General features: G+C 39.8%; 1 protein-coding gene across 14 annotated transcripts in view, besides 2 other annotated features; it reads right to left on the reverse strand.

Annotated features, from left to right (window-relative positions):
• TBL1XR1 (TBL1X/Y related 1) overlaps positions 1–27,951 on the reverse strand; it is a 182,457-nt gene that overhangs the window by 126,777 nt on the left and 27,729 nt on the right. The window lies entirely within an intron of this gene.
• Positions 5,225–5,274: an enhancer, noted in NCBI's record as "active region_20837". NCBI's record gives its function as "activates an Ori minimal core promoter by ATAC-STARR-seq in GM12878 lymphoblastoid cells {active_cell/tissue: GM12878}" and the evidence as "EXISTENCE:reporter gene assay evidence [ECO:0000049][PMID:35858748]".
• Positions 6,405–6,905: an enhancer, noted in NCBI's record as "H3K4me1 hESC enhancer chr3:176870313-176870813 (GRCh37/hg19 assembly coordinates)". NCBI's record gives its function as "activates a minimal SCP1, AML or CMV promoter by ChIP-STARR-seq in naive H9 embryonic stem cells {active_cell/tissue: H9 hESC(naive)}" and the evidence as "EXISTENCE:reporter gene assay evidence [ECO:0000049][PMID:30033119]".

Consider the following 27,951-nt stretch of genomic DNA (forward strand, 5'->3'; position numbering starts at 1 on the left):
GTGATCTGCTTAGTTCAGTACCTGATATGCAGCTATCATTCTGGCAAAGGTTTCTCTATCTCTACAAACAGAATTTCAGAAGCAATTTGCTTTCATTTGGCTTGTACAGCAGTACATCTTCACTATACTGCCTCAGGTTAAGTCAGTTTTCTGGCTTTCATATGATATGCTTTGTTTGTTTTGAGATGGGAGTTTTGCTCTTGTTGCCCACGCTGGAGTGCAATGGCGTGATCTCGGCTCACTGCAACCTTTGCCTCCCGGGTTCAAGTGATTCTCCTGCCTCAGGCTCCCGAGTAGCTGGGACTACAGGCATCCGTCACCATGCCCAGGTAATTTTTTGTATTTTTAGTAGAGATGGGGGTTTCACCATGTTGGCCAGGCTGGTCTCGAACCCAGGAGGCGGAGGTTGTGGTAAGCCAAGATCACGCCACTGCACTCCAGCCTGGGCAGCTGAGCGAGACTCCATCTCAAAAAAAAAAAAAAAAAAGTTGTATTCACTACTACTTTTACCAAGATCATCAGAAAAATTCTAAATAACAGGAAGCTATCAAGCTCACAGTATCTAATAATTTTCCAAAACCCAAACTATCACGTGAAATCTCAGATTTTATCACTGGCAACAAATACCGTCCGTTGTTTTCCTTAAAGTAAAAGCTCACTTTGTTTGAGAAAATATCTCTAAAATGCTCATGTCAGAATCACCATAGTGAGTCACTGTTTCAAGCGAAAATTAAAGAAGGCTGGTTCTGCTCATAACTCAAATAATGCCCAAGAGTTTTCCCTCTGAAACCATCATACTTTTGCATTCACAAGTATTTTATGAACATTTCCCATTTCATCACAAAGACCATTAAAATGATTCAGATTCAGATCATGATTTTTTTAGATTAATACTTTTTACTGCTTCATCAAGGAGATTCCTAAGACTTTTTTTTTTTTTTTAAGAGATGTAGTCTTACTCTATCACCCAGCCTGGAGTGCAATGGCGTGATTTTGGCTCACTGCAGCCTCAACCTCCTGGACTCAAGGGATCACCACAGCTCAGCCTCCTAAGTAGCTGGGACTACAGGCACGCATCACCATGCCCAGCTAACATTTTTGGTTTTTTTATAGAGACGAGGTCTCCCTATGTTGCCCAGGCTGGTCTCAAACTCCTGTGCTCAAGCAATTCTCCTGCCTCAGCCTCTCAAAGTGCTGGGATTACAGGGATGAGCCACGATGCCCGACCAAGTAAAACTTCGTTTACTATAAATATGTGGTGATGGTGCTGCAGAACATAGTTTGAAGAAACTGCACTGATTTTTTCCTAACCAGCAAGTTTTCCAAAACATCACTTTTGAGCCAAAGTGCAAATGTCAACACAGTGAAAGAAAGTACTTATGATTATTAAATTAGTTTTACTCTGAAAGGGTCTTGGGTTCAACAGACAGCGCAAAATGTATTTCTCATTTTTGTTGTCAGCTACAGGTTGGCTACAGGCATCTTCTTCATTCTGGAATCTAGCAAAAGAAATAGTCTTTATCTGGCCCATTTTTCTTGGGGCTGAGGAAAATTAGCAAAAATCATTCATGCAATGGCTCCTAATAAGGCTTCAGCTTAGACATGACAAATAATCACTTCTACTCATCTTCCAGTGGCCAAATCAAGTTCCATGGCCATTCCTGATGTCCACAGGAACAAGGAAGTACTCCTCCCACAAATAGGAGGTCCTGTAGGGAGAAGCCAGTAAAGAAGGGAAGCAACTGTTTTTGAATAATGTGATCTACTATAAGCAACAATTAACTCTTGAGTTCCTCTCACCTCCACACCAAACAGTACCACATTTCACAGGGGACACAGAGCTACCTGGTAGCAATATGGTAACACCCAGAATCTTTCCACCATTAAGAAAGTTATCTCTGTGAAACAGACACTTAGCTTTTGTCAACAACCTTACTTATTCTGGCTACCATGGAAACAAGTCCGTTATTTTATAATTTTTTTGTTCTGAATGAAGAATCAATTTTAGGATCTAAATAACCAACTCACCAATTTAGAATATAACACAAACTTTTTATAAATTGTAGATTTTTTAGATGACAGCTAGTTAAGGATGTTGAAAGTTTAAGTACAAAAGGAGGTATACATGCTGATAGGGGACAGTTAAGTATTTACTGTTGTGGACATCTATCAAGTTTGAAAAGACTTTTTAATTTGTGGATATTTCCACGTTCTGAAATCTACTTACTATCTAAACTAGAAATTAGAATTTAAAATTCCCAGCTTCTCTTATGGCTAAAGACATGGCATACTCTTTGATCTCAAAAATAAACCTCTCAGGCACAGTGGCTCACGCCTGTAATGCCAGCACTTTGGGAGGCTGAGGTGGGTGGATAACGAGGTCAGGAGTTCGAGACCAGCCTGACCAATATGGTGAAACCCCATCTCTACTAAAAATACAAAAAATTAGCCGAGCATGGTGCCGCATGCCTGTAATTGAACCTACTCAGGAGGCTGAGGCAGGAGAATCACTTGAACCCAGGAGGGGGAGATTGCAGTGAGCCGAGATCACACTCCAGCCTGAGCAACAGAATAAGACTCGAGAAAAAAATAAAAATAATAAAAATTGGCTGGGTGCGATGGCTCACGCCTGTAATCCCTGCACTTTGGGAGGCCGGGTGGATCACCTGAGGTCAGGAGTTTGAGACCAGCCTGGCAAACATGGAGAAACCCTGCCTCTACTAAAAATGCAAAATTAGCTGGTTGTGGTGGTGCGTGCCTGTGATCCCAGCTACTCGGGAGGCTAAGGCAGGAGAATGACTTGAACCCAGGAGGCAGAGGTTGTGGTGAGCCGAGATCACGCCATTGCACTCCAGCCTGGACAAAGAAGAGCAAAACTCCCTCAAAAAAAAAGAAAAGAAAAGAAAAGAAAAAACTCCAGGAGACTTTGCTTTGCTTTAGAAGTAAGCAATGAGCAGAGCTTCCATTTCTTGCTCAGTCCCAAGACGGCAGACATATTTGGCTTTTGATGATGGCAACAGCCAATGCTAGCCATTTCCCGGTGATTGCAATGCGGAGTACCTGTCAATGGAACAGCACCAGAGGCAACAACAGTAGCATCTGCAATCAAACTGAGTGTCTAGTATTTAGTGTTCAGTATCCCTGGCTTTCTCAAATCTAGTTCTGCAGCATGGTTTCAGGCAATGTTCCCAGAAGCTTGGACTTAAATCTATATCTCTAGCACTCCCCCAATGACTCTGTGAACCACCTAATATTCAATATTCCCTACTCTAATTACAGAAGCCAGGGTAAGTTCTGTTGCTTATAATGAAGAATATATTTTATAATACTTATTCTCATTTTACATATAAGAAAACTGGGGTTTAAAATGGCTAATTTACTAATAGGCCACCTAGATTTTAAAGCTTTTTAACTAATTTTGTATTATACTAATTCTACAATTAATCACTTCAATAGTACAAGCAAGCAACTGAAACAAAACTCATCACCATTGCTCTGAAACAGGAGTTGACAAATGACAGCCCGTGGGCCAAATCCTACCTGCTTTCGTATGGCCCATAAGCTAAGAATAATTTTTACATTTCTAAATGGTTGGGGGGGCCGGAGGGGGACACAACGCGACTGTGAAAATCATACAAACTTCAATGTATCATAAATAAAACATTACTGGAACACAGCCGTGCTTATTCATTTACATACTATCCATGGCTGCTTCCTAACAGCAGACTTCAGTACATGCCTAAAATATTTATTATCTAACCCTTAATCCTTTACATAAACAGTGTGCTGACCTCTGCTCTAAAATTATTCTAATATAACTAAGGAAACGTCAATTTAAATAAATCTTAAAGTGGGTATTAATATATTTGTTATCCCAGATTATCTACTTTGAGAACATGCCATATGTAGCATACTATACAATTTATTCAATATTTAAACCACAAAGTCCCGTTTTTTCTCTTATCTGATTCCAAACAAGAGTATCAAACTAGAATTTAGTGTCAAAAAGGGTTGTTTTCAGAACAATCAAGATGTTGTCAACCAAGAGCCAAATGCACCTTCTTAATTGTCTTCCCCAGAAACTGAAAAGCCCGGTAGTAAGGAAGATTTTTTTAAATTAACAAACTGGCCTTAGAGAGACATATGGAATGGTATTCAAGAATACAACAGAGGAGCAAACAGTGTGGTGTCAAAGAAGTTGATATTTGAACAGAGTACAGAGTCCTCAATTCCTTAAAACTCGGCAAAATAAGCCAGACAACAGGAATGTGCAGCTACTATGAAATGCTCCAAGCAGGATGGATGCCTTCATGCATGCCAAATCCAGAGACCAAAAGCTATCAGGTCACTAAAACTGAAAACTGACCAGTGTCTAATCCTTTCCTCCTCTTTCAGCAACTACAGACTGAGTTACCTAGGAAAACAAAACAAAATACGATGTCTCTTTGAAGTCCTCAGATTCAGGTACTGTTTTTCCATGTCACATAGTTTGATGTTGTAGAATGTTTCTTACCATTTCTTGGTAGTATTCCCAGCTCTACCTGACTAACCTCAACTCCCAAAATGACCTTGTGTGTGGAAAAATATGTCCTGTGTAGGCCTCTGTTTAGGTGCCATGCAGCTGAGCAGGCTCTAACAGAAAGTAATTATCTAAGGACGCTGACATAATTCCAGTTAAGGTAAGCCTGGAAGGTAATAGAGTGAGGTATTAATAAGGAGAAACAGTCACAAAGCTTTTTATTTTACCTTCATTTAAAAAGTAAGACACAAACTGGAACATGTGAGAATCTGAGATCGGACCTCACTGTATTGGAAGGTGAGTTGTTCAAAACTTAAAACATTCTTTCTTACAAATAAGGTTATAACTATACATAATATACTTGTTTCTGAGGTAGCTCAGAAAAGCCAGTAATAATAAAAACACATAGAATCACAGAATCAGACACTTTAAACATGCTGTTCAACTCCTTTATTTTATAGATAGCACCGCTGTGGTGAAGAGAAAGTTGAGTCACTTGTGAAGGGCCACAGTGGTATATAAAAGCAAAGCTGGGAAGAAAGCCAAATCTGTGACTGAGAGCCACACATTTTTCACATTGAACCACCTCTCCTGATGAAGTATTTTTCAAGTATTTATGTTTCAGTATAGCTTAACATTACCAGTGTGTATCAAAAGCAGTATTAAAAACAGTTGCATTTGATTTTCTTAGTTGATGATGGGGGTCCCCAACCCCCGGCTGCAGCTGTGGGCACCAGTCCACGGCAGTGGGGCCAGCATTACCACCTGAGTTCCATCTCCTATCAGATCAGCTACAGCATTAGATTCTCACAGGAGCGTGAACCCTATTGTGAACTGCACATTTGAGGGACTTAGACTGTACGCTCCTTATGAGAATCTAACTAATGCCTGATGAAACCACCCGCCTACCCTCTGTCCGTGGAAAAACTGTCTTCCATAAAACTGGTCCCTGGTGCCAAAAAGGTTGGGGACCACTGGTTTACACAATAAAATGAAAAACAGGCTGAGTGTGAAATCAGCTGTCCTCCAGAACACCTGAGGCATATGCTCTGTCTCAGCCACTGTGAAATATCAGACTAATTTTTCATCACCCAAGGATAAAAAGAATTTTCCCAGACGGGCACGGTGGCTCACACCTGTAATCCCAGCCCAAGGCAGCAGATCACCTGAGTTCAGAAGTTTGAGACCAACCTGGCCACCACGGTGAAACCCTGTCTCTACTAAAAATACAAAAATCAGCCGGGCGTGGTGGCAGGCACCCGTAATCCCAGCTACTCAGGAGGCTGAGGCAGGAGAATCACTTGAACCTGGGAGGTGGAAGTTGCAGTGAGCCAAGATAGCGCCATCGCACTCCAGCCTGGGGCACAAGAGCAAGAAACTGTACTCTTTTGTCCTAAATACTACTACTGAATACAATTTGTTCCAAGTTGATTCAAATGGGTAACAGTATGAGTGAATGAGAAATAAATTAACTATGATTATAGCAAATTAGAAGTTTAGATTATTCAGCCTGGCTATGTTGAAAACTTCTTCCAAAGATGCTCCCAGCTGTCACCCTTCTTTTTCAGTCCACGGAACCTTTTAAGTTGCTACATTCACTTTAGATTATGCTTTTTACTTTTCACTCCCAGATCTATCTTCTCATTAATTTCCCCAGAGCCAAGTACTTGACTAATTCAAGGCCCACCTTTTTTTTCAACAGTCTTCCTATTGTTGCCCAGGCTGGAGTGCAATGGCGCGATCTCAGCTCACTGCAACGTCCGCCTCCTGGGTTTAAACTGGGATTACAGGCACCCACCACCACGCCCGGCTAATTTTTGTATTTTTAGTAGAGATGGGGTTTCGCCATTTTGGCCAGGCTTGTCTTGAACTGCTGACCTCGTGATCTGCCCGCCTCGGCCTCCCAAAATGCTGGGATTACAGGCGTGAGCGTGAGCCATGGTGCCCGGCCGCCCTACCCTTTTTCTTAGCTTTTTGCAGAAAGCTGTCATCTGTATTTCCTCACTATTCAAGTCATGTTGGTCCTAGGTTCTATATATCTCTATATATTATTTTCTATATAGATTTCTCTAACCATCATTCTTAGAGCCATCTCAGAATTTGATAGCCCATTTACTTTGTTCTTGATTATCCCTAATTACCTTATTATTGCTTCTATCTCCCTTTGCTCTTTTTCCATTTTCCACACACCTTTCCTAAAAGCCTGCTTAGATCTTCGCAATTCTGGCTCACATTCCTATTAAGCTGGTGCTACCCAACAGAACCACACTGTTTGTGGATCACTTGAGGTCAGGAGTTGGAGAACAGCCTGACGAACATGGTGAGACTCCATCTCTACTAAAAATAAAAAAACTAGCTGGGCGTGGTGGCGTGCACCTGTAATCCCAGCTACTGGGAAGGCTGAGGCACGAGAATCGCCCGGGAAGTGGAGGTTGCAGTGAGCCAAAATTGCACCACTGCACTCTAGCCTGGGCAACAGAGTGAAATAGTGTCTCAAAAATAAAATAAAATAAAATAAAGTGTTGAAGTAAAAAGATTAACACATAATTCTATACTCAGTGAATATATCCTTGAAAATGAAGGGGGAAACAAAGACTCTACCAAACTAAAAGTAGATAGAATTTCTCACCAAGAGACCTGACTAGAAGAAGTGTTAAAGGAAGTTATTCAGCAGAAAGAAAACAGCAGATACAAGTGGAAAACCTCGATCTTCCCAAAGGCATGTGGAGTGCCCAAACTAGTAAATACGCATGCACATATAAGACTTTTCATTTCAAAAGTTCCTCTAAATGAGTAATTAACTGTTTAAAGTAAAAATAATATCCAGTGTTTACAGCATATAAAATGCACAGCAAAAATAGTACATAAAAGGGAGAAATAGATGTATGCTATTATAAAAAATCTAACACTATATGTGAAATGCAATAATTTTACTTGAACATAGACTGTAAAAAGTATGCAATAAAGGCCAGGCGCGGTGGCTCACGACCGTAATCCCAGCACTTTGGGAGGCCGGGGCGGGTGAATCACCTGACGTCAGGAGTTTGAGACCAGCCTGGCAGACATGATGAAACCCCTACTAAAAAAATTAGCTGGGCGTGGTGGCACGCGCCTGTAATCCCAGCTACTCAGGAGGTTGAGGCAGGAGAATCACTTGAACCCGGGAGGCGGAGGTTGCAGTGAGCCAAGATCGCGCCACTGCACTCCAGCCTGGGCAACAAGAGCAAAACTCCATCTCAAAAAAAAAAAAAAAAAAAAGTATGGAACAAGTGAACTGCAGGGTAGCCACTAAAGAGGTATGGCTAATAAGACAATAGTAGAAATAATATAGAGTGCTAATAATTACTAAATCAAGGCGCCAAGAAAAAAAAAGAACAGATAAGACAAAAAACAAATATGGTATAAATTCAACCACATTAATAATTATGTTAAATGCAAATTATCTAAATCCCATTATCAGCCTGAATTTAAAAACAAACAAAAATCCAACTATATCCTGTTTAAAAGAATCCCATGTTAACTATGAAAACAGATGATAAATAAAAAATGGAAAATATATCTCATGACAAAATTAAGCATAAGGAAGCTCTAAGTATAATCTGATTATTAATACATTAATATCAAACAAGGTACTCTAGAGCAAGGACTAAGAGGAACATTTCTTAATGATAAAGTGGTTAATCCATCAAGATAACATAAAAATTCTAAATGTGTGTACCTAACACCTTAATTTGGAAATCTGTAATCTAGAAATTGACAAACTTTTTTTTTTTTAAGAAGGAGTTTTGCTCTTGTTGCCCAGACTGGAGTACAATGGTACAATCTCAGCTCACTGCAACTTGTACCTCCCAGGTTCAAGAGATTCTCCAGCCTCAGCTTCCCGAGTAGCTGGGATTACAGACGCCCACCACCATGCCCAGCTAATTTTTGTTTTTTTAGTAGAAACGGGGTTTCGCCATGTTGGCCAGGCTGGTCTCAAACTACTAACTTCATGATCTGCCCGCCTCAGCCTCCCGGAGTGCTAAGATTACAGGCATGAGCCACCGCGCCCGGCCGACAGAACTTTTTAAAAAGAAATCATATTTAGAGTTGGAGATTAACACCCTTCTCTCTGTAAATAATAAAACTAAAAATTAATAACACAGAAGATCTAAACACTTGACAAACTGGACTCGTATTTACAGAAAACATCCGATAAAAATAATACAAAATACTGAAGTGCAAATAAAACATTAACAAAAGAGATCACACACAGAGAACAAAACAGATGCAAATCTAAAAGATTTAAATCACAGAGTATTTTCTCTGGCTACAAAGAAAAGTCCCATACAAAGTTACCAAATATTTGAAATCAGATAAACATATTCCTAAAGTAAACAAAGGCTCAAAGAAGAAATCACAATGAAAATTAAAAATCATTCTGAAGTATATGAAAAGAGAAGAGCGTACCAAAAATAGTAAAATGCAGCTAAAGCAACACCTTAAGGGCACTATTTCACAAACAAAACGAATTTGAGATCACTGATCTAAGTTTAAGAAGCTAGAAAAAGGGCAAATTAAACAAAGAAAGCGCTAATATCAATGCAACAGAAAACAGACACACAACACTGAAAAAGCAGTGAAACTAAACTGTCTTTTGAACAAATCAATAAAACTGATACCTCTCACTAAACTGATCAAGATTTGTATTGTGAATTATGAAAAATAAAAAAACATAGCCACAGACTCCACATTAATTGAAAGAATATTAAGCTAATAATTTCTTTAAGAAATAAAACTCCTTTGAAAGACATGAGTTACCAAAAATGACTCAAGATTTTTTTGATCTATGTTGTTCTGTATCTATGAAAGAAATTTAATTTGGGAAACAAAAGGTGTATGAATTTAAAAGAATAAATAAATAGTCATTGTCTATAAATAATGTGAATACATAAGGAAAGCTGATCTTAAAGGATACTAAGGACTTTCAAAAGGAGAAAGATAGTTTTTTTCTTTTTTCCAAGAAATGGTACGAAAACAACTGAATAGTCACATAGAAAAAAAAATGAACTTCAACTTTTACCTCATACCATACACAAAAATTATATCAGTTTTGGTCGGCTGCAGTGGCTCATGCCTGTAATCCGTGCACTCCGGGAAGAGGGCGGATCCCCTGAGGTCAGGAGTTCGAGACCAGCCTGACCAACATGGAGAAACCCCATCTCTACTAAAATTACAGAATTAGCCAGGCGTGGTGGCACATGCCTGTAATCCCAGCTACTCGGGAGGCTGAGGCACAGGAATCACTTGAACCCGAGAGGTGAAGGTTGTGGTGAGCCGAGACTGCACCATTGCACTCCAGCCTGGGCAACAAGAGTGAAACTCCATCTCAAAATAAAAAAAGTAAACCATTTTTTAATCTAAAAGCTAACACTCTAAAACTTCTAAATAGAAATACAGGATAAACTTTCTTAGAACAAAAAAAAACAGAAACCATTAAAAAAAAAAAACCTAGAATTCATGAAAACGTGAAACTTCTACTCTACCAAAAAAAAAAAAAAAAAAAAAGGCACGAAAGGAATGAAAAATCAAGACATATAGGCCAGGCATGGTGGCTCACGCCTGTAATCTAAGCACTTTGGGAGGCCAAGAAGGGCGGATCTGACATCAGGAGTTTGAGACCAGCCTGGCCAACATGGCAAAACCCCCGTCTCTACTGAAAACACAAAAATTATCCAGGTGTGGTGGCGGGCGCCTGTAATCCCAGCTACTCGGGAGGCTGAGGCAGGAGAATCCCTTGAACCCAGGAGGCAGAGGTTGCAGTGAGCCAAGAACACGCCATTGCAGCCTAGGGACAGAGTGAGACTCCATCTCAAAAAAAAAAAATTATATATATACATACACACACACACACACACACACACACACACTTATATATATATACACACACATACATTTATATATATATATATAAAATTCTGACAAAACACTTGTGTCTGGAATATAAAAAAGAATGCCACAACAATTACATGAGGACATATGACCCAAATTTTCAAAGGAGCAAAATATTTGAACAGTTCACAAAAAGATGTATGAATGTCCTCAGAAGTAAAAACTAAAACACAAGGAGATACTAGTTTCTATATACTACTATACACTAGAATATAGCTCAAAGCTGGAAGCAACACAAATATCCATCAACTGGGAATGGACAAAAAATTGTGCTACATCCGCACAACAAAATGACAATTCAAGGAGGGACAAGTCAAGCACAAAATACACAGTGTATGTATCACTTTCTACTCTTGCTAGATGATGAATTACCACAAACGTAGTAGCTTAAAACAACACAAATTTGTTAATTTGTAGTTCTGTAAGTTACAAGTCTGACACAGGTCTCACTGGGCTAAAATGAAGGTGTAAACAGGTGTAATCATTCCTCTCTGGGCCAGGCACAGTGTCTCACACCTGTAATCCCACTTTGGGAGGCTGAGGTAAGAGGACTGCTTGAGCCCATGAGGTCAAAGCTGGAGTGAGCTGTGATTGTGTCACTGTACTCCAGCCTAAGTAGCAGAATGAGACTCTATCTCAAAAAACAAAAAGAAAAAAAAATTTCCTCTCCGGAGGCTCCTAAAGCAGATTAGTTTCTTTTGACTTTTCTAGACTCTGGAGGCACCAGCATTCCCTTGGCTCAGGGCCTCGTCCTCCATCTTCCAAGCCAAGAAATGTGTGCATCTGACCATTCTTCAGCAGTCATTAGTCCTATCACCCTCTCACTACAGATTTTAAGGATCTGTATGATGAGATTAGACTTGCTGGCATGATTTAGTATATAATACTATAAAATTCTGAATTTAACATAAAGAAATAGCACATTTGTACTCAATTCAGAACACTCTGGGTTATAAGTGACCTTGCTGGTTTAAATGAGGATTACCTTGGCATCACTCTCTGCATCAAGGCTCTTAATCACATGTGTAAAATGCCTTTGCCATGGAAGGTTAAATACCCACAGGTTCTGGGAATTAGAGTATGGATGTCTTAGAGGGATCTTTATTCTCCCTACCACAAAATGGAATGGAATTCCATTCATATGAAATTTCTCAAGAAGCAAAACTAACCTGCAGTGTTAGAAAGCAAATTAGCCGTTTCCTGGGATGGGCGTGCCAAAGGGGACTAACTGCAATTGGGAACAAGGGAACTTTTCCAGTTTTATACGTGATCTTCGTCTTAAATTGTGGTAGTTGCACAGGTATATACATTTGTATATTATTCAAATACACCTCAAATGAATGCATTTTATCATATGTAAAGTACAGCTCAATGAAGTTTGTTTGAAGATCATAAATACTATCCTCGTTAAGTGTTTTATTTTAGTTGTTTCCCCCCACCCCCAAGGCTAATAGGTTTGCTCATAGGTAGGTTGGAAAACTGTGAGGCTATCTCATATATCTTAAGGTCCCACCACGGTAGTTTTCAATAAAACAATCTACATGAAGAACTGGATAGTTTTTATAACATTATTTCTAAAAAATAAAAAGTAAAACAAAAACAAAAACAAAAAAAACCCTGCTGCAAATTCCACTGTAAATATAGGATTTGTTTCTTTTCTTTTTTTTTTTTTTTTTTAAGACAGTCTTGCTCAGTCGCCCAGGCTGGAGTGCAGTGGCACAATCTTGGCTCACTGCAACCTCTACCCTCCTGGGTTCAAGCCATTCTCCTGCCTCAGCCTCCCCAGTAGCTGGGATTACAGGTGCGAACCACTATGCCCAGCTAATTTTTGTATTTTTAGTAGACACGGAGTTTCACCATGTTGGCCAGGCTGGTCTCGAACTCCTGACCTCATGATCCGCCCGCCTCGGCCTCCCAATGTGCTGGGATTACCGGCGTGAACCACCACGTCCGGCCAATATAGGAATTTAAAACAAGACTACAACTGACAGAAGAGCCATTCATCCCTATGGTATACTCCTAAATTTCATATTATATATTAGACCCTGAAAATCCTGTTGCTATGGTGTTGCTCCCAGGAGACATTTCAGCAGCAGTAACCAGGAAGAGCTAAGAAGCTGACAGACCTGCATATAGATATGATTAGAAAATCATCTGTGGCGCTTTAGGGATTCTGTTTGAGCACCTCTAGATTAAAGAAAATTGGACACTACTAACAGCCCTAAGGCTATATAAACCCAAGAAATTAACCTAACCTCCCCAGCCCCTCAAGTAATATTAAAGAGATATCATTCTTCTATAAACAATATAAATCAAGAAGAGAAACATCCATCCTGCGGGCCACATTAAACTACTAAGGCCACTAAATGGACGTATTTTCCCACCTCCAAAACTAAGCTATAATAAATACAATATGGTCTCTAAAATTATTAGCATTCAAAGAGCCTCAATGTAGAGATACCCTATTAAAAGTTTTAATTCTCCTAAAATGTAAAAAGAACAAGAAGAATTTTTTATTTTTAATTCCTGCAGTGGTAAAGACAGTTTTTACTTATGTGGAACTCAGCTGGATTTTCTCAATGGGTAAAAAAAAAAAGAGAGAAATCAGTTTCTACCATAGGTTTAAAAAGCTGAGGCTGATTCTCCTGCTGCTGAGGAAAGTAAATAGCTCACTTCCAATACTGAAAGAAGTAGCTACTTGAAATTATATCAATTCTCTAATGCTAAAAAGATTACCTTAAAAATGGTAAGGAAATTACCACTTATACCACAACTGGAGTATACATTTTATAAAATAAGGGCCCTCTATTTTAAAATAAAGTACATTCAATGCTGTTGTGAGAACTGTATGATTTATTTAAAAGAAATACTATAGAAAAGTCAATATATATAATTTATACACATATAAATGACAAGCTTGATCAAAATAACTACTTGAAAAACCAAGACACAAAATTCTCATCACATTTTCAGCAGCATGAGTTTTTATATCCATTCTCTCTTCTTTCTTAAAATAAGCACCAAATTTATAGCACCCCTTTGAAGCACTAAAGATATGTCAGTGTGCAAAAATCAGGTAGGAAAAGAAAAAAGTCATCCAAGTAAATAATTATAATCAGCGTTAAGTGTTACAAAGTACCAGCTCCTACGAAAGTCCTAAATAAGTAATGTCCCTGCTGCCACCTGATGCACAGGGCTTAGTAAAGACTAATGATGGCCACTGTTTCCAAGTGAAGCGATGCTGGCCCCTGAGTTTCAAGACACTAGTTTTGCATCTTCATAAGGATGCTACGTTTTTGCAGTAAAATTTAGGATGTCTATTTGTTTAAAAATTTTTTAAGCTATATTAATAGGTCAAGGTCGTTAATACCACCACATTAATGCATTTAACCTCATAGTTTAATTTAACTTAATATAAAGTAGTGGTGAAGAGCAAGGCTAGACAGCTAGATTTGCATGTAACCCTGAGCACATTACTTAATCCAATAAAGAGTGGGGAAAATGGAGCAAGAGGGAACAAAATAATAGTACTTTCTCAAGAAGCTCAAATAACAAGTAAATTGAAGAGCTGTTGGAGGCCTTGTTTAGCTGCTTTGCAAACCATGTAAGTAGAAGTATCTGGTAGGGCGCAGTGGCTCAGTCCTGTAATCCCAGCACTTTGGGAGGACGTCATGGTAGTGCATCATGACGTCAGGAGATCTAGGCCATCCTGGCTACCACGATGAAACCCCATCTCTACTAAAAATACAAAAAATTAGCTGGGCGTGGTGACAGGCGCCTGTAGTCCCAGCTATTCAGGAGGCCAAGGCAGGAGAATGGCGCGAACCCGGGAGACTGAGCTTGCAGTGAGCCAAGATTGCGCCACTGCACTCCAGCCTGGGCGACAGAGCGAGACTCTGTCTCAAAAAAAAAAAAAAAAGTATCCAATTGGCAGCGAGAAAGAAGAATCAAATAATGTCCAGAACAATCTTCACTGAGTCCATAGTTCCCATTCTGCTTCCAATTCCAGGATATATTACTTGCACTGGGTTTGATGGGATACTTCCCAATGAATTCTTTTTCTTCAAGCTCTCGATTATTTTTTATTATTTGAAACTCAGTCCTAAATCATAAAACATGTTTATAAAGAGCTAAAACATTCTAGCCCAGGCGTGGTGGTTCACACCTGTAATCCACACACTTTGGGAGACTGAGGAGGGTGGATCACCTGAGGTCAGGAGTTCGAGACCAGCCTGGCCAACATGGTGACACCACATCGCTACTAAAAATACAAAAGTTAGCCAAGCATGGTAGTGCATACCTGAGGTCCCAGCTCCTTGGGAGGCTGAGATGCGAGGACTGCTTGAGCCCAGAGGACGGAGGTTGTAGTGAGCCGAGAACACGCCACTGCACTCGAGCCTGGGTGACAGAGTGAAACTCTGTCTCAAAAAAAAAAAAAATAAAGATCTAAAACATTCTCTAGAAATGTAAAAAAATTTATATCAAGTACTAAAACAAAGCCAGTTAATCTTAGATACACAAATGTACACAAACACACCTAGGTTTGTTGTGTTTCCGTTTTGGAAATTTGGTAAATGCTTAACAGCATAATTTTCCATTTGTTATAGTCTAATTTGTTTTCCTGTTTCTCTGACTGTTTTGCCTATCATCTTAGATAACCCCTGTGCCAGTCCTTGACTCCTTGCTTTCCCATGTGTTTCTTTTAGCTAGTTTACATGCTACCCCTTAAGTTCTCTTTTCCCCAAAACCCTGACTGAAAAAAAGACTTCTACAAGCAGTCAGCAAACAGGTTATTTCCCACACATATCTCACATTTTTATTTACATTATGAGCCAGTTAGGTTAATTACACTTTTCAGTGACTCAAATGCAAGTAAAAGATTCTGAACTCAGCACTAATAATGTCAAACCCTACATAAAAGGCACTAATTGGCCAGGCGCGGTGGCTCACGCCTGTAATCCTAGCACTTTGGGAGGCTGAAGCGGGTGGATCACCTGAGGTCAGGAGTTTGAGACCAGCCTGGCCAACTTGGTGAAACCCCATCTCTGCAAAAAAATATAAAAATTAGCCAGGCATGATGGTGGATGCCTATAATCCCAGCTACTCGGGAGGCTGATGCAGGAGGATCGCTTGAACCAGGGAGGTAGAGGTTGCAGTGAGCCAAGATCATGCCACTGAACTCCAGCTTGGGTGACAGAGTGAGACTCTGACTCAAAAAAAAAAAAAAAATCTAAGACCCATCACCCAGTTAAGAATCATATATCAACAATAAGCACATGAAAATATTCTCAACATCATTTGTCACCAAGGAAATTCAAATTATAACCACAATGAGACACCACACACTCCCACTCAAATAGCTGAAACTAAAAAAGAACTAAAAATATTAAGTGTTGACAAAAACACAGAGCAACTAGAACTTACAAACACTGCTAGTGAAAGAGCAGACTGGCACAATCACTTTGAGGAATGGTTATAGCAGTTTCTAAAGTTAAACATATATCTACATCCTATTATCAATTTCATTTCTAATACACCAAAAAGATGTTAAGTGCTTTAGAATGTTCACAGCAGTTTTATTCAGAATAGCGCAATGTTGAAAACGCCACATATCTGTCCAAAGAGTAAAATAGATAGTAGTATTACACTTATGCGTGTGTATCAATGAAAAAGAAACTACTGCTTGATACAATAAATGATGAAGCACAGATTTACATGACCAGTCTCTAGTGAACACAGGTCAATACAGTGGTTACCTTTGGTGGGCAAGATACTGACTGGAAGAATGGACAAGGGAGCCTGCCTGCCGGAAGGCATGAAATGTTCCATGTCTCAATTTTGTTGGTAGTTACAAGGGTGGATAATATGTTTTAATTTTAAAAAATCATAGGCACAACTAATTTATGGTAACAGAAATTAGAAAACTGATTGTCTAAGATGGAGAGAAGGAAAAACAAAATGGGGCCTGAGGAAATTTTCTGAGTGATGGAAATGTTCTAAATCTTGACTGGGGTGGGTTACATGGTCAGTTTTACATGAGCTGTTAAAACTCATCAAAACAGTACACTTAACATCTGTTCATTTTATTGAAAGTAAATCATACCTCAACTAAAAGAAAGTTTACTGAGTTATACATCTACAAGTGTATACTTTGCCTTATGTAAATTACAGCACAATAAAAAATGGAAGTGCCCAAAATAAAAGTCCGCTAAGAAGAAATGACTTAAATATACAAAAAGATGCTCGATCTTATTCAAAATAAAAAAGAAATCAGAAAGACACTAAAGTAATATCTTCACTAGCAGATTATCAAAGAGCAAAACATTTGGTAACACTATGTTGGCAAGAACATGGGCAGAGACACATTGAGAGCAGGAATGTAAACCGGTACAGCCTCTGTGAAGTCAGTCTGGCAGTCACTACCCTAATTATTTACAAATGCACGTATCCTTTGACCCAGCAATTCCAATTATTTATTTATCATACAGATATCCTTTTATGCATAGGGAATGATCTATGTACCAAGGTTATTCACTCAACATTGCCACAGCCACAGACTGAGGCAACCTGAATATCCATCAATGAAGGGACCGGTTAAACTATGGAGTACCAATACAGTAAAATGTCTTGCAGCCATTTAAAAGAAAAAAAAGAGGCCGGGCGTGGTGGCTCACGCTTGTAATCCCAGCACTTTGGGAGGCCAAGGCGGGCAGATCACTTGAGGTCAGGAGTTCGAGACCAGCCCTGCCAACATGAGGAAACCCCGTCTCTACTCAAAATACAAAAAAATTAGCCAGGCATGGTGGCGGGCACCTGTAATCCCAGCTACTCAGGAGGCTGAGGCAGAAGAATCACATGAAACCAGGAGGTGCAAGCTGCAGTGAGCCAAGATCATGCCATTACCATCCAGCCTGGGCAACAAGAGCAAAAACTCCGTCTGAAAAAAAAAAAAGAAAGCTCTTTGTGTAGATGTGAGAAGATGTAAAATATATAAGGTAAAAACAGCAAAACACATCAAAGTGACTAGTACCCTAATATTTGTATTTAAAACAATACTGGGGAGAGGGTGTAAAGTATACACTTAATTACTTTTATATATATAAAATATCTGGAAGGATACAAAGAAAACTGATGACAGTGGTTAGCTCTAGGAAAGTAACTTGGTAGGGGTAGGGGTAGGGGAGAGAATACTTATGAATTTTGAACAACGTGAATATATTACCTAGCCAACAAATCTTTTCTGAAGCAGTAATCAGCTTCAATTCATATGTATCACTTTCTATACACATAGATATACACATAAATACGCAAAATGTATCAATAGTTTAGATTTATGTTATTACAATTAAACAGTAAAAACTCAGTACTTCTGCCCAAGCACAAAAAAGAATATATACCTTTACTCACCTCAAATATATTCCCAATACGTTCCTGAAAAGGAAATATTTTTCTTCAACCAGAGAATTATTAGCAACAATCAACAATAGAGAAAGCCCAGCAGATTATACGCCCTTCTTAACACCAACCGTGCACACGCATACGCTCAGCAACATACCGTAAAACAACTAACATAACATTTCAAAATTCTTGTTCCAGAGCTGAGTAAAATTCATTATTGTGGCTTGGTTAGGACTCCCTGACTTGACATTAAAAACTGTTCATGTTTACAACTACCACAATGTTTGCTATCCGAGTATTCCCTCCTGCAAAGACCTTCAAATGGCCCCTAAATTGTTAAAACTTGGAATGGCTTAATTTACACATCACTCCCTATTTTCAATTTTTTTTTTTTTTTTGAAATGTGGAGTCTTGCCTGTCGCCCAGGCTGGAGTGCAATGGCGCAATGTTGGCTCACTACAACCTCCATCTCCCGGGTTGAAGCGATTCTCCTGCCTTAGCCTCCCGAGTAGCTGGGATTACAAGCGCCTGCCACCATACCTGGCTAATTTTTGTATTTTCAGTAGAGATGGGGTTTCCCCATCTTGGCCACGCTGGTCTCAAACTCCTAACCTCATGATCCACCCGCCTCGGCCTTCCAAAGTGCTGGGATTACAGGCGTGAGCCACTGCGCCCAGCCTACTTCTAAATTTTTGAAGAAACAAATTGAAAAAGATTATACAAATAAATGGAAAGATGTCTCATGTTCACGAACTGAAAGAATATTGTTAAAATGTCCATACTACCCAAAGTTATCTGCAGAGTCAATGAAATCTCTATCAAAATTTCAATGACATTTTTCACATCTTCTGGAGCTGGGCTGAATAGAGATTATGAACTACAAGACTATGGTATCCCTAAAAATTTCAAATACTCTACAGCATTGTAGGAAAAATTGTATATTTACTTTAAAATATTTTTAAACATATGTTCGAGTTTGTTGAAGTTTTAATTTTTTTTTTTACCGTGGCAAAGAAATGTATGATAGTACTACATTTTACTTAACCTTAATGCCTTCCTTCTTTCTCGTATCTAAAAATTTGTTATGGGTTCTAGCTAACACAATAAGAAAAGGTAAAGAATGGGAAGGAAGAAATAAAACTATCTTTGTTCACAGATGACATGATTGTCTACACAGAAAATCTGAAAGAACTGACAAAAAAAACTCCAGGAACTAATAAGCAATTACAGTAAGCTTGCAGGATACAAGGTTAGTATACAAAAGTCAATCGCTTCCCAATTTGAAGTGAAAAACACAAAACCATTTATATTACTCAGGCACAAATCTAACAATATGGATAAGATCTATATGAAGAAAGTCTGATGAAATAAATCAAAGAACTAAATAAATGGAGAAATACTCCATTTCCTTGGATAGAAGACTCAATACTGTCAAGATGTCATTTCTTCCCAACTTGATCTACAAATTCAACACAATCTCAATCAAAATCCCAGCAAATTTTGTGGATATCAACAAACTTAAGTCTTAAGTTTATATGAAGTTTTTTTGAAGGAGAGAACAAAGTGAAAGGATTTGCCCTACTTGACCTCAAGACTTCCTAAAAAGCTACAGTTATCAAGACAATATGGTATTAGTGAAAGAACAAATAGATCAGTGGAACAAAATAGCCCAGAATACATCTGTACATAGAAAACTGATCTCTGACAAAGTAACAAAGACAATACAATGGAGCAAAGACAGTCTATTCAACAAAGAGTGCTGGAACAACTAAACATCCATATGCAAAAAACCAGTCTAGACTCAGCCCTCACACTCTTCACAAAAACTAACTCAAAATAGATCACAGAGCCAGGTTCAGTGGCTCACACCTGTAATCCCACCACTTTGGGAGGCTGAGTAAGATGATCACTTGAGGCCAGGAGTTCAAGACCAGCCTAGGCAACATGGCAAAAGCGTTATCTCCACAAAAAATTAGCTGGACATGGTGGTATGCCCCTGTAGACCCACCTACTCAGGAGGCTGAGGTGGGAGGATTGCTTGAGCCTGGGAGGCGGAGGTTGCAGGAAGCCAAGATAACCTCACTGCACTCCAGCCTGGGCAACAGAGCCACACCCTGTCCAAAAAAATGGATCATAGGCCAGGCACAGTGGGTCACACCTGTAATCCCAGCACTCTGGGAGGCCAAGGCAGGTGGATTGGCTGAGCTCAGGAGTTTGAGACCAGCTTGGGCAACATGGTGAAACTCCCATCTCTAAAAATAATAACAATAACAATGATAATGAGATAAATAAAATACAATAAAGGAAAAATACATTAAAAACTCACCAATAGGGAAACATACAACCCTATTTTAAAAATAGGCCAAGAATATTAAACAGAGACCTTATTCAAAGAACACATACGTATGTAAATATGCATGTGAAAAGATGTTCCACATCATATACTGATATGGTTTGGCTTTGTGTTCCCATTCAAATCTCATCTTCTAATCCCCAGGTGCTGAGGGAAGGGCCTCATGGGAGGTGAATGGATCATGCAGCTTCCCCCATGCTGTTCTGATAATAGTGAGTTCTCTGATGGTTTTATATGGGGCTCTTCCTACTTCTCTTCCTTCACACTCTCTTGCTTGCTGCCATGTTAGAAGTGCCTGCTTCCCCTTCTGCCATGATTGTAAGTTTCCTGAGGCCTCCCCAGCCATGCAGAACTGTGAGTCAACTAAAACTCTTTTCTATATAAATTACCTGGTTTGGGGCTGTTCTCTATAGCAGTGTGAGAATGGACTTACTACATACACCATTAGGGGATTGCAAATTTAAACAATAATGAAATATCACTACACACCTATTAGAATGGTCAAAACCTGGAACACTGAAAACACCAAATGCTGGTGAAGATGTGGAGCAAGAGGACTCTCATTCATTGCTGGTGCAATCACAAAATGGTACCGCCACTTTGGGAGACAGTTTAACACTTTCTTACTAAAACTAAACATACTCTTACCATATGATCCAGCAAACATTTCCTTGGTATCTACCCAACAAGTTTAAATCTTGTGTCCACACAAAAACCGGTACGTGGATGTTTATAATAGCTTTATCCATAATTGCCAAAACTTGGAAGTAATGGAGACGCCCTTCAGTAGGTCAAAGTTGATAAACTTGGTACATGCAGACAATGGATTATTATTCTACACTAAAAAGAAATGAGCTATCAAACCATGAAAGGACATGGAGGAATCTTAAATACATATTACTACATGAAAGAAGTCAATCTAAAAAGGCTACATACTACATGATTCCAGTTATGTGACATTCTGGAAAAGGCAAAATTATGGAGGCAGCCAGAAGGTTGCCAGGAAGTGGGGGAAGGGATGAATAGGTGAAGCACAAAAAATGTTTAGGGCAGTGAAAATCCTCTCTATTATAAGGCAAGATGCAAATGTCATTATACATTTGGTCGAACACGCAGAACGTACAACACCAAGAGTGAACCCTAATGTAAACTATGGACTTTGGGTGATAATGATGTCAACTTAGGTTCATCAACTGTAACCAACGTACCACTCTGGTGCAGGATGTTGGTAACTGGGGACACGAGGCAGAGGGTATGGAAAACCTCTGTGTCTTTCTCTCAATTTTATTGTGAACCTAAAACTGCTCTTTAAAAATTAAGTCTCTTAGGCTGGGCGCAGTGGTTCATGCCTGTAATCCCAGCACTCTGGGAGGCCAAGGCAGGCGGATCACCTAAGGTTGGGAGTTCGAGACCAGCCTGACTAACATGGAAAAACCCCATCTCTACTAAAAATACAAAAATTAGCCAGGCGTAGTGGTATATGCCTGTAATCCCAGCTAGCTACTCGGGAGGCTGAGACTCTTGAACATGAGAGGTGGAGGCTGCAGTGAGTCGAGATCATGCCATTGCACTACAGCCTGGGCAACAAGAGCGAAACACTGTTTCAAAAAAAACAACAAAAAAAATAAGTATCTTAAAAAAGTGTTGTTATAGGACAAAAACTCCAATACAAGTTTTATAACTACTACTCTGGACTTTCAAATAATAAATGGGAAACAACCAAAAACTTTCAGCATCTTTTCAGTTAAGCTAAATTCTTCCATGTAATGAGATAAATATATAAACAATATACATTAGGCCATGTTATATAACAGAAACTAGGATTCTGTCACAGGTAAATTAAAAATAACTTATGAATCCTCTTCTAATTAAAGTGTTCATTTAGGTACACAAAATTCTAAGAAATACATTACTACTTGAAGTTAAAAAGAATCAACATGGAAGAAAACACGGAAATAAACCTTTTTTTTTTTTTTTGAGACGAAGTTTCACTCTTGTTGCCCAGATTGGAGTGCAGTGGTGCAATCTCGGCTCACTGCAACCTCCGCCTCCCGCATTCAAGCGATTCTCCTGCCTCAGCCTTCTGAGTAGCTGGGATTACAGGCACCCGACACCATACCCAGCTAATTTTTTTATTTTTAGTAGAGGCGGGGTTTCACCATATTAGCCAGGCTGGTCTTGAACTCCTGACCTGAGGTGATCCACCCACCTGGGCCTCCCAAAGTGCTGGGATTACAGGGGTGAGCTACCACGTCCGGCCATGAACCGTTTTCTAAAGGCTCCAAATACAATGTATTTCACAATCAGTTGTTACTGCTTCACTTGGTGTTCATGAAAGGATGTGAACATAATGAACATACTGAACTTTTCTCTCTCTACAAACTTGTATACATTTAATGCTATAATAAACATATACTTTACAAAATATTTGTATTAAAATAAAAATTCAATCATTTCTGAATTACATTTACTTATTAAGCCTAAAAGCTGCATTATTTGATTTACAATTATTTAAAGTATTCACTTCATTGAAATCTTCAGCCATTTTATGGTTTTCCATAATAGGAAAATACAGATTTGGAGAGGGGGAAACAAATGTTGACTTACCCTGTCTTTGCCTTACCAATCCAACTACCCTCTAGTCAGTCATCTTAGACTAAGTGATTAACTTTTTTTTTCTTATTATTTTAGGATTCTTGAATCCCTAAAGCTTGACCACATATTTACAAAAATGAAAACTCCACATATTTACAAAAATGAAAACTCAGTTGTTAAGGTGGTAATAGTAATTACATTTTATCATTTTCTTAATGTTGTTCATTAATCAATAGCGATAAAGTGGGAATTTATCACTTCGATATGTTCCAACATTAGTGAAGACCAAATTCCATGGATACCAATTTCTTTAGATTTTAAATCTAGAATTTATACCTTTTGTAATCATTAGCCTAAAGGAGAAATAAGTTATAATCACCTTGCAGCCACAAAAGTGGATAAATCTTTGAATTTTACAATTATCTCTCTTTTTAAAAAGCACTATTTCATTATGTTAAGATTCACAGTTATAAAAACAATCAGATTGACATTTCAGTTACTATCACAAGGGTTCCAGGAAGACACTAAAGAGTCAAAGCTAAGAAAAGCATGATCATGGCAGATACATGGAATAAGAAACTATTCAAAATAATGCTACCATATTAGAACATTTTGCAAACTATGCACTACATGTATATTCAGGCAATGCTACTACAAAACCACTGTTATAACTGAAGCTTAATAGAGAAATGACAAAGACTTCCAGTAATGGAGTGGTACAACTTTTCCAAAGGTAATACACAAGACAAACTGCACCCATACCCATATAACTGTTTCCAAACACTAATCCCTCACTCTTTCTTCACTGGTCAAAACAGTCAGCAGCTCTAAAAGATGTAAATGAGATGAAGACCAAAAGTTAAGGAGCACTGCCAACAAAAAGATCAGGAGATGAAGAGTTCCACAATGACCACTTACTTAAATCCTTCCCCCTAATTCACTCCCTTTATCCCACCCAGTGGCTCTAAAATACTCCTTATTGATCAGCAGTATCAGCATCACCTGGGAAACTGCTGAAAATGCACATTCTCAGGTCCTAGCCTAGGACCTGCTGAATCAGAAATTGGGGGGCAGGGTTGAGCAGTCTGTGTTTTAACAAGCCCTCCAGGTGATTCTGATGCACACAAATCTGAGAACCACTATTCCACTGTTCCACTGTTCCTAGTTAAGACTTTCACTTCTCACCTCTATCATGACAATAGCCTCCTGAATCCCAATGCATTCTCCAAGGTGCTGCCAGGGTTATCTGATTACACTGCAGCCCCACTCAAATTCCTTCACTAGGTCCCTCAACTTTCCAAAGCTTTGGCTTATCCACAAGCCTCTCATGACCTGGGATCCTGTCATCACTACCTCCAACTCCCACACCAACCGTCCCACACAAAAACACTTACCTGTAGACCTAACTCATAAATTACTATCCCTGGCGGTCTTTCCACTAATATTCCTCTTTTTGGAATGTCCTTCTTCCCCCACCCCTCCACAACTCCATATCTAGCAAATCTTTCAAGATTTGCTCTACACTCCACCTGGCCCAACACTGGGTTAATAACCCTTCCCAGGTGCTCCTAAAAACAGCCTGTATTATGCTTACCTGGCTCTTATTTCCTGTTGACGTGGCACAGTGCCTGGAGCATAATAGGCACTCAATGATAGAATCGGGTGGGGAGAAAAAGGTCTTTCTCACATTTATATTCTAAAGTCCTTGAGATCAATGGTTTTTGTTGTTGTTGTTTTGGGACAGGGTCTCACTGTGTCACTCACTGCAGTCTCCACTTCCCCAGCTCAAGCAATCTTCCTGCCTCTGCCCACCAAGTACCTGGGAATACAGGCATGCACCACCATGCCCAGCTAGTTTTTGTATTTTTTGTTGAGACGAGGTCTCGCCATGTTGCCCAAGCTGGTCTCAAACTCCTGAGCTCAAGCTATCCACCCACCTCAGCCTCCCAAAGTGCTGGGATTGCAGGCATGAGCCACCGTGCCAATGATCATGTCTTACCTGTCCCTGGATCCCCAGTTCTAACAATGCTGGCATGTAGCAAACACCTTTTTGAAGCCCACTGAGTGAATAACTGTGGTTCAAAAGCCTTAAGAAAAAACTATTATACAATCACGTTCAAGCCAATACTGATACCTTATAAAATCCAGGCGCGGTGGCTCACGCCTGTAATCCCAGCACTTTGGAAGGCCGAGGCGAGCGGATCACCTGAGGTCAGGTGTTTAAGACACACCTGACCAATATGGAGAAACCCCATCTCTACTCAAAATACTAAATTAGCCAGGTGTGGTGGCACATGCCTGTAATCCCAGCTACTCGGGAGACTGAGGCAGGAGAATTGCTTGGACCCAGGAGGCAGAGGTTGCAATGAGCTGAGATCGCACCATTGCACTACAGCCTGAGCAACAAGAGTGAAACTCTGTCTCAATAAATAAATACATACATACACACATAAAATCCATATGAAGACACTACCTCCTGAATTAGAAGTGTGCTGTTGGCCGGGCGCACTGGCTCACACCTGTAATCCTAGCACTCTGGGAGGCCGAGGCAGGTGGATCACGAGATCAGTAGATCGAGACCATCCTGGCTAACACGGTGAAACCCCATCTCTACTAAAAATACAAAAAAAAATTAACCAGGTGTGGTGTGGTGGCGGGCGCCTGTAGTCCCAGCTACTCGGGAGGCTGAGGCAGGAGAATGGTGTGAACCCGGGAGGCGGAGCTTGCAGTAAGCCAAGATCGCCCCACTGCACTCCAGCCTGGGCAACAGAGCCAGACTCCGTCTCAAAAAAAAAAAAAAAAAAAAAAAAAGTTTGCTGTGATTCCGAAAAAAGAAATCCAGGGCTTTTTGGAGAAATGGCTGACTCTAGGGCTAGAAAAGAAAAATACCAGAAGAGTTTGGAGCAAATTGTTATGTCAGAAAGTAAGAAACTGCTTAAAAAATCAAAGGACAGAGCATGTTGAAAGGGCACAGGAGGCCAGCCTGAAAGAGGTGCCAGTGGCAAAAGGTGGAACAACTGTAGCAGCAAATCAAGTAGTGGTAACATTAAATTATAACCCAAAGAATGGCCAGATGCGGTGGCTCACGCCTGTAATCCCAGCACTTTGGGAGGCCAAGGCAGGCGGATAGGTCAGGAGATTGAGACCATCCTGGCTAACATGGTGAAACCCCGTCTCTACTAAAAATACAAAAAATTAGCTGGGCATGGTGGCACGCACCTGTAATCCCAACTACTTGGGAGGCTGAAGCAGGAAAATCACTTGAACCCGGGAGGCAGAGGCTGCAGTGAGCCAAGATTGCGCCACTGCGCTCCAGCTCGGGAGACAAAGCAAAACTCCCACCTCAAAAAAAAAAAAAAAAAAATTATAACCCTTATAACCCAAAGAACAAAAATATCCACAAGTCCACACTGACATAAGTCATGGAATGAGTGAATAAATAAGTAAATATACAGGAGAAAAGGAACAAATCTCCTGTAAAGAAAAAAAACCCAATTAATGCATGTAAAAAGGAATAAGGGAACTAGAAAAATCACACCATTAGAAAACCACAGTCATCGGCCAGATGCAGTGGCTCATGCCTCTAATCCCAGCATTTTGGGAGGCCAAGGCAGGAGGATCGCATGAGCCCAGGATCGGAAGGTTAGTGAGCCATAATCGTACCACTACACTCCTGCCTGAGTGACAAGGCAAGACCCTCATCTCAAGAAAGAGAGAAGAGAGAGAGAGAGAAAGAGAGAGAGAGAGAAGGGAGGGGAGGGGAGGGGAGAGGGGAGGGGAGGAGAGGGAAGAGAAGAGCCAAGCCGAGCCAAGCCAAGCCAAGCCATAGTAAGTATTGCTCCAGATGAGATCCACTGATGAATGCTAAAATTATTGGACAAAACTTTCAAGGAAAAAAATGGCTATCTGCACAGCCTCAAAGCATCTCCCCAAAGTATTTCTTAATTACCACAGTGGTTTTAACATATTTCTTTGGCCAGGCGCGGTGGCTCATGCCTGTAATCCCAGCACTTTGGGAGGCCAAGAAGGGCAGATCACCTGAGGTCAGGAGTTCAAGACCAGCCTGAACAACAAGGAGAAACCTCGTATCTACTAAACACAAACAAACAAAAAATACAAAATTAGCCGGGCGTGGTGATGCATGCCTGTAATCCCAGCTACTCCGCAGTCTGAGGCAGGAGAATCGCTTGAACCTGGGAGGCGGGGGCTGCAGTGAGCCGAGATCGTGCCACTGCACTCCAGCCTGGGAAACAAGAGCAAAACTCCATCTCAAACAAAACAAAACAAAACAAAACACCATATTTCTTAATTACCGTGGTGATTTTAACATATGTCCACAAATTTTCCATGCTTTTCCCTCTAGTACGTAGAACTTAACATCCCTTTGCCTTGCATGAGGGCTAGATTAGTAGACTCACTTCTAATGAGCAGGTTGAGAAGCGAAAAACAGTAATTTCAGAGCGAAGGAACTTGGCACACATTACCTTAACCAAGAGACAAGATTAACATCACCAAGATTAAAATATACCAATAAGTGTCCCCTGTTTGATATGATGTGATGAGACAGGCACATCAACTCTATGGTATTGTACCCATAACCTCAGTCTAATCATTACAAATATCAGACAAACCAGTACTCTTCAAAATTGTCCAGGTCATGAAAAAGGGGAAAGACTGAGAAACTGTCACAGGTCAGAGGAGACTAAGGAGAAAACTAAATGCAACATGAGAACCTGGATTGGCTATTGGAACAGAAAAAAAGACATTCGTGGAAAAAACCGGAGAAATCCAAATAAAACCTATAGTTTAGTATTATACCAATGTTCATTTCTTAGGTTTGATAAATACACCATGGTTAGGTAAGACTGTAATACTGAGGAAGCAGTGTGAGGGTACACTGGAACTTTGTACTAACTTTGCAACTTTCTGTAAATCTAAAATTATTTCAAAAGTTAATATTTTTAAATTATAATCAGTTATACATTTAATCCAGATTAACACTCCAATGTTATCAAAGAAATTCTAATGACTTTTATATTAATGTAAAATCTTTAGAAGTGTTGTCAAAATATATGAAAAAGGGACTAATCCGAAATTCAAAAATTACACCCACTAGCAACTTCATGAACTACTTATACCAATCGATTTTTCACGT

The sequence above is a fragment of the Homo sapiens genome, chromosome 3 (genome assembly GCF_000001405.40).
Source record: "Homo sapiens chromosome 3, GRCh38.p14 Primary Assembly".
Lineage (NCBI taxonomy): Eukaryota > Metazoa > Chordata > Mammalia > Primates > Hominidae > Homo > Homo sapiens.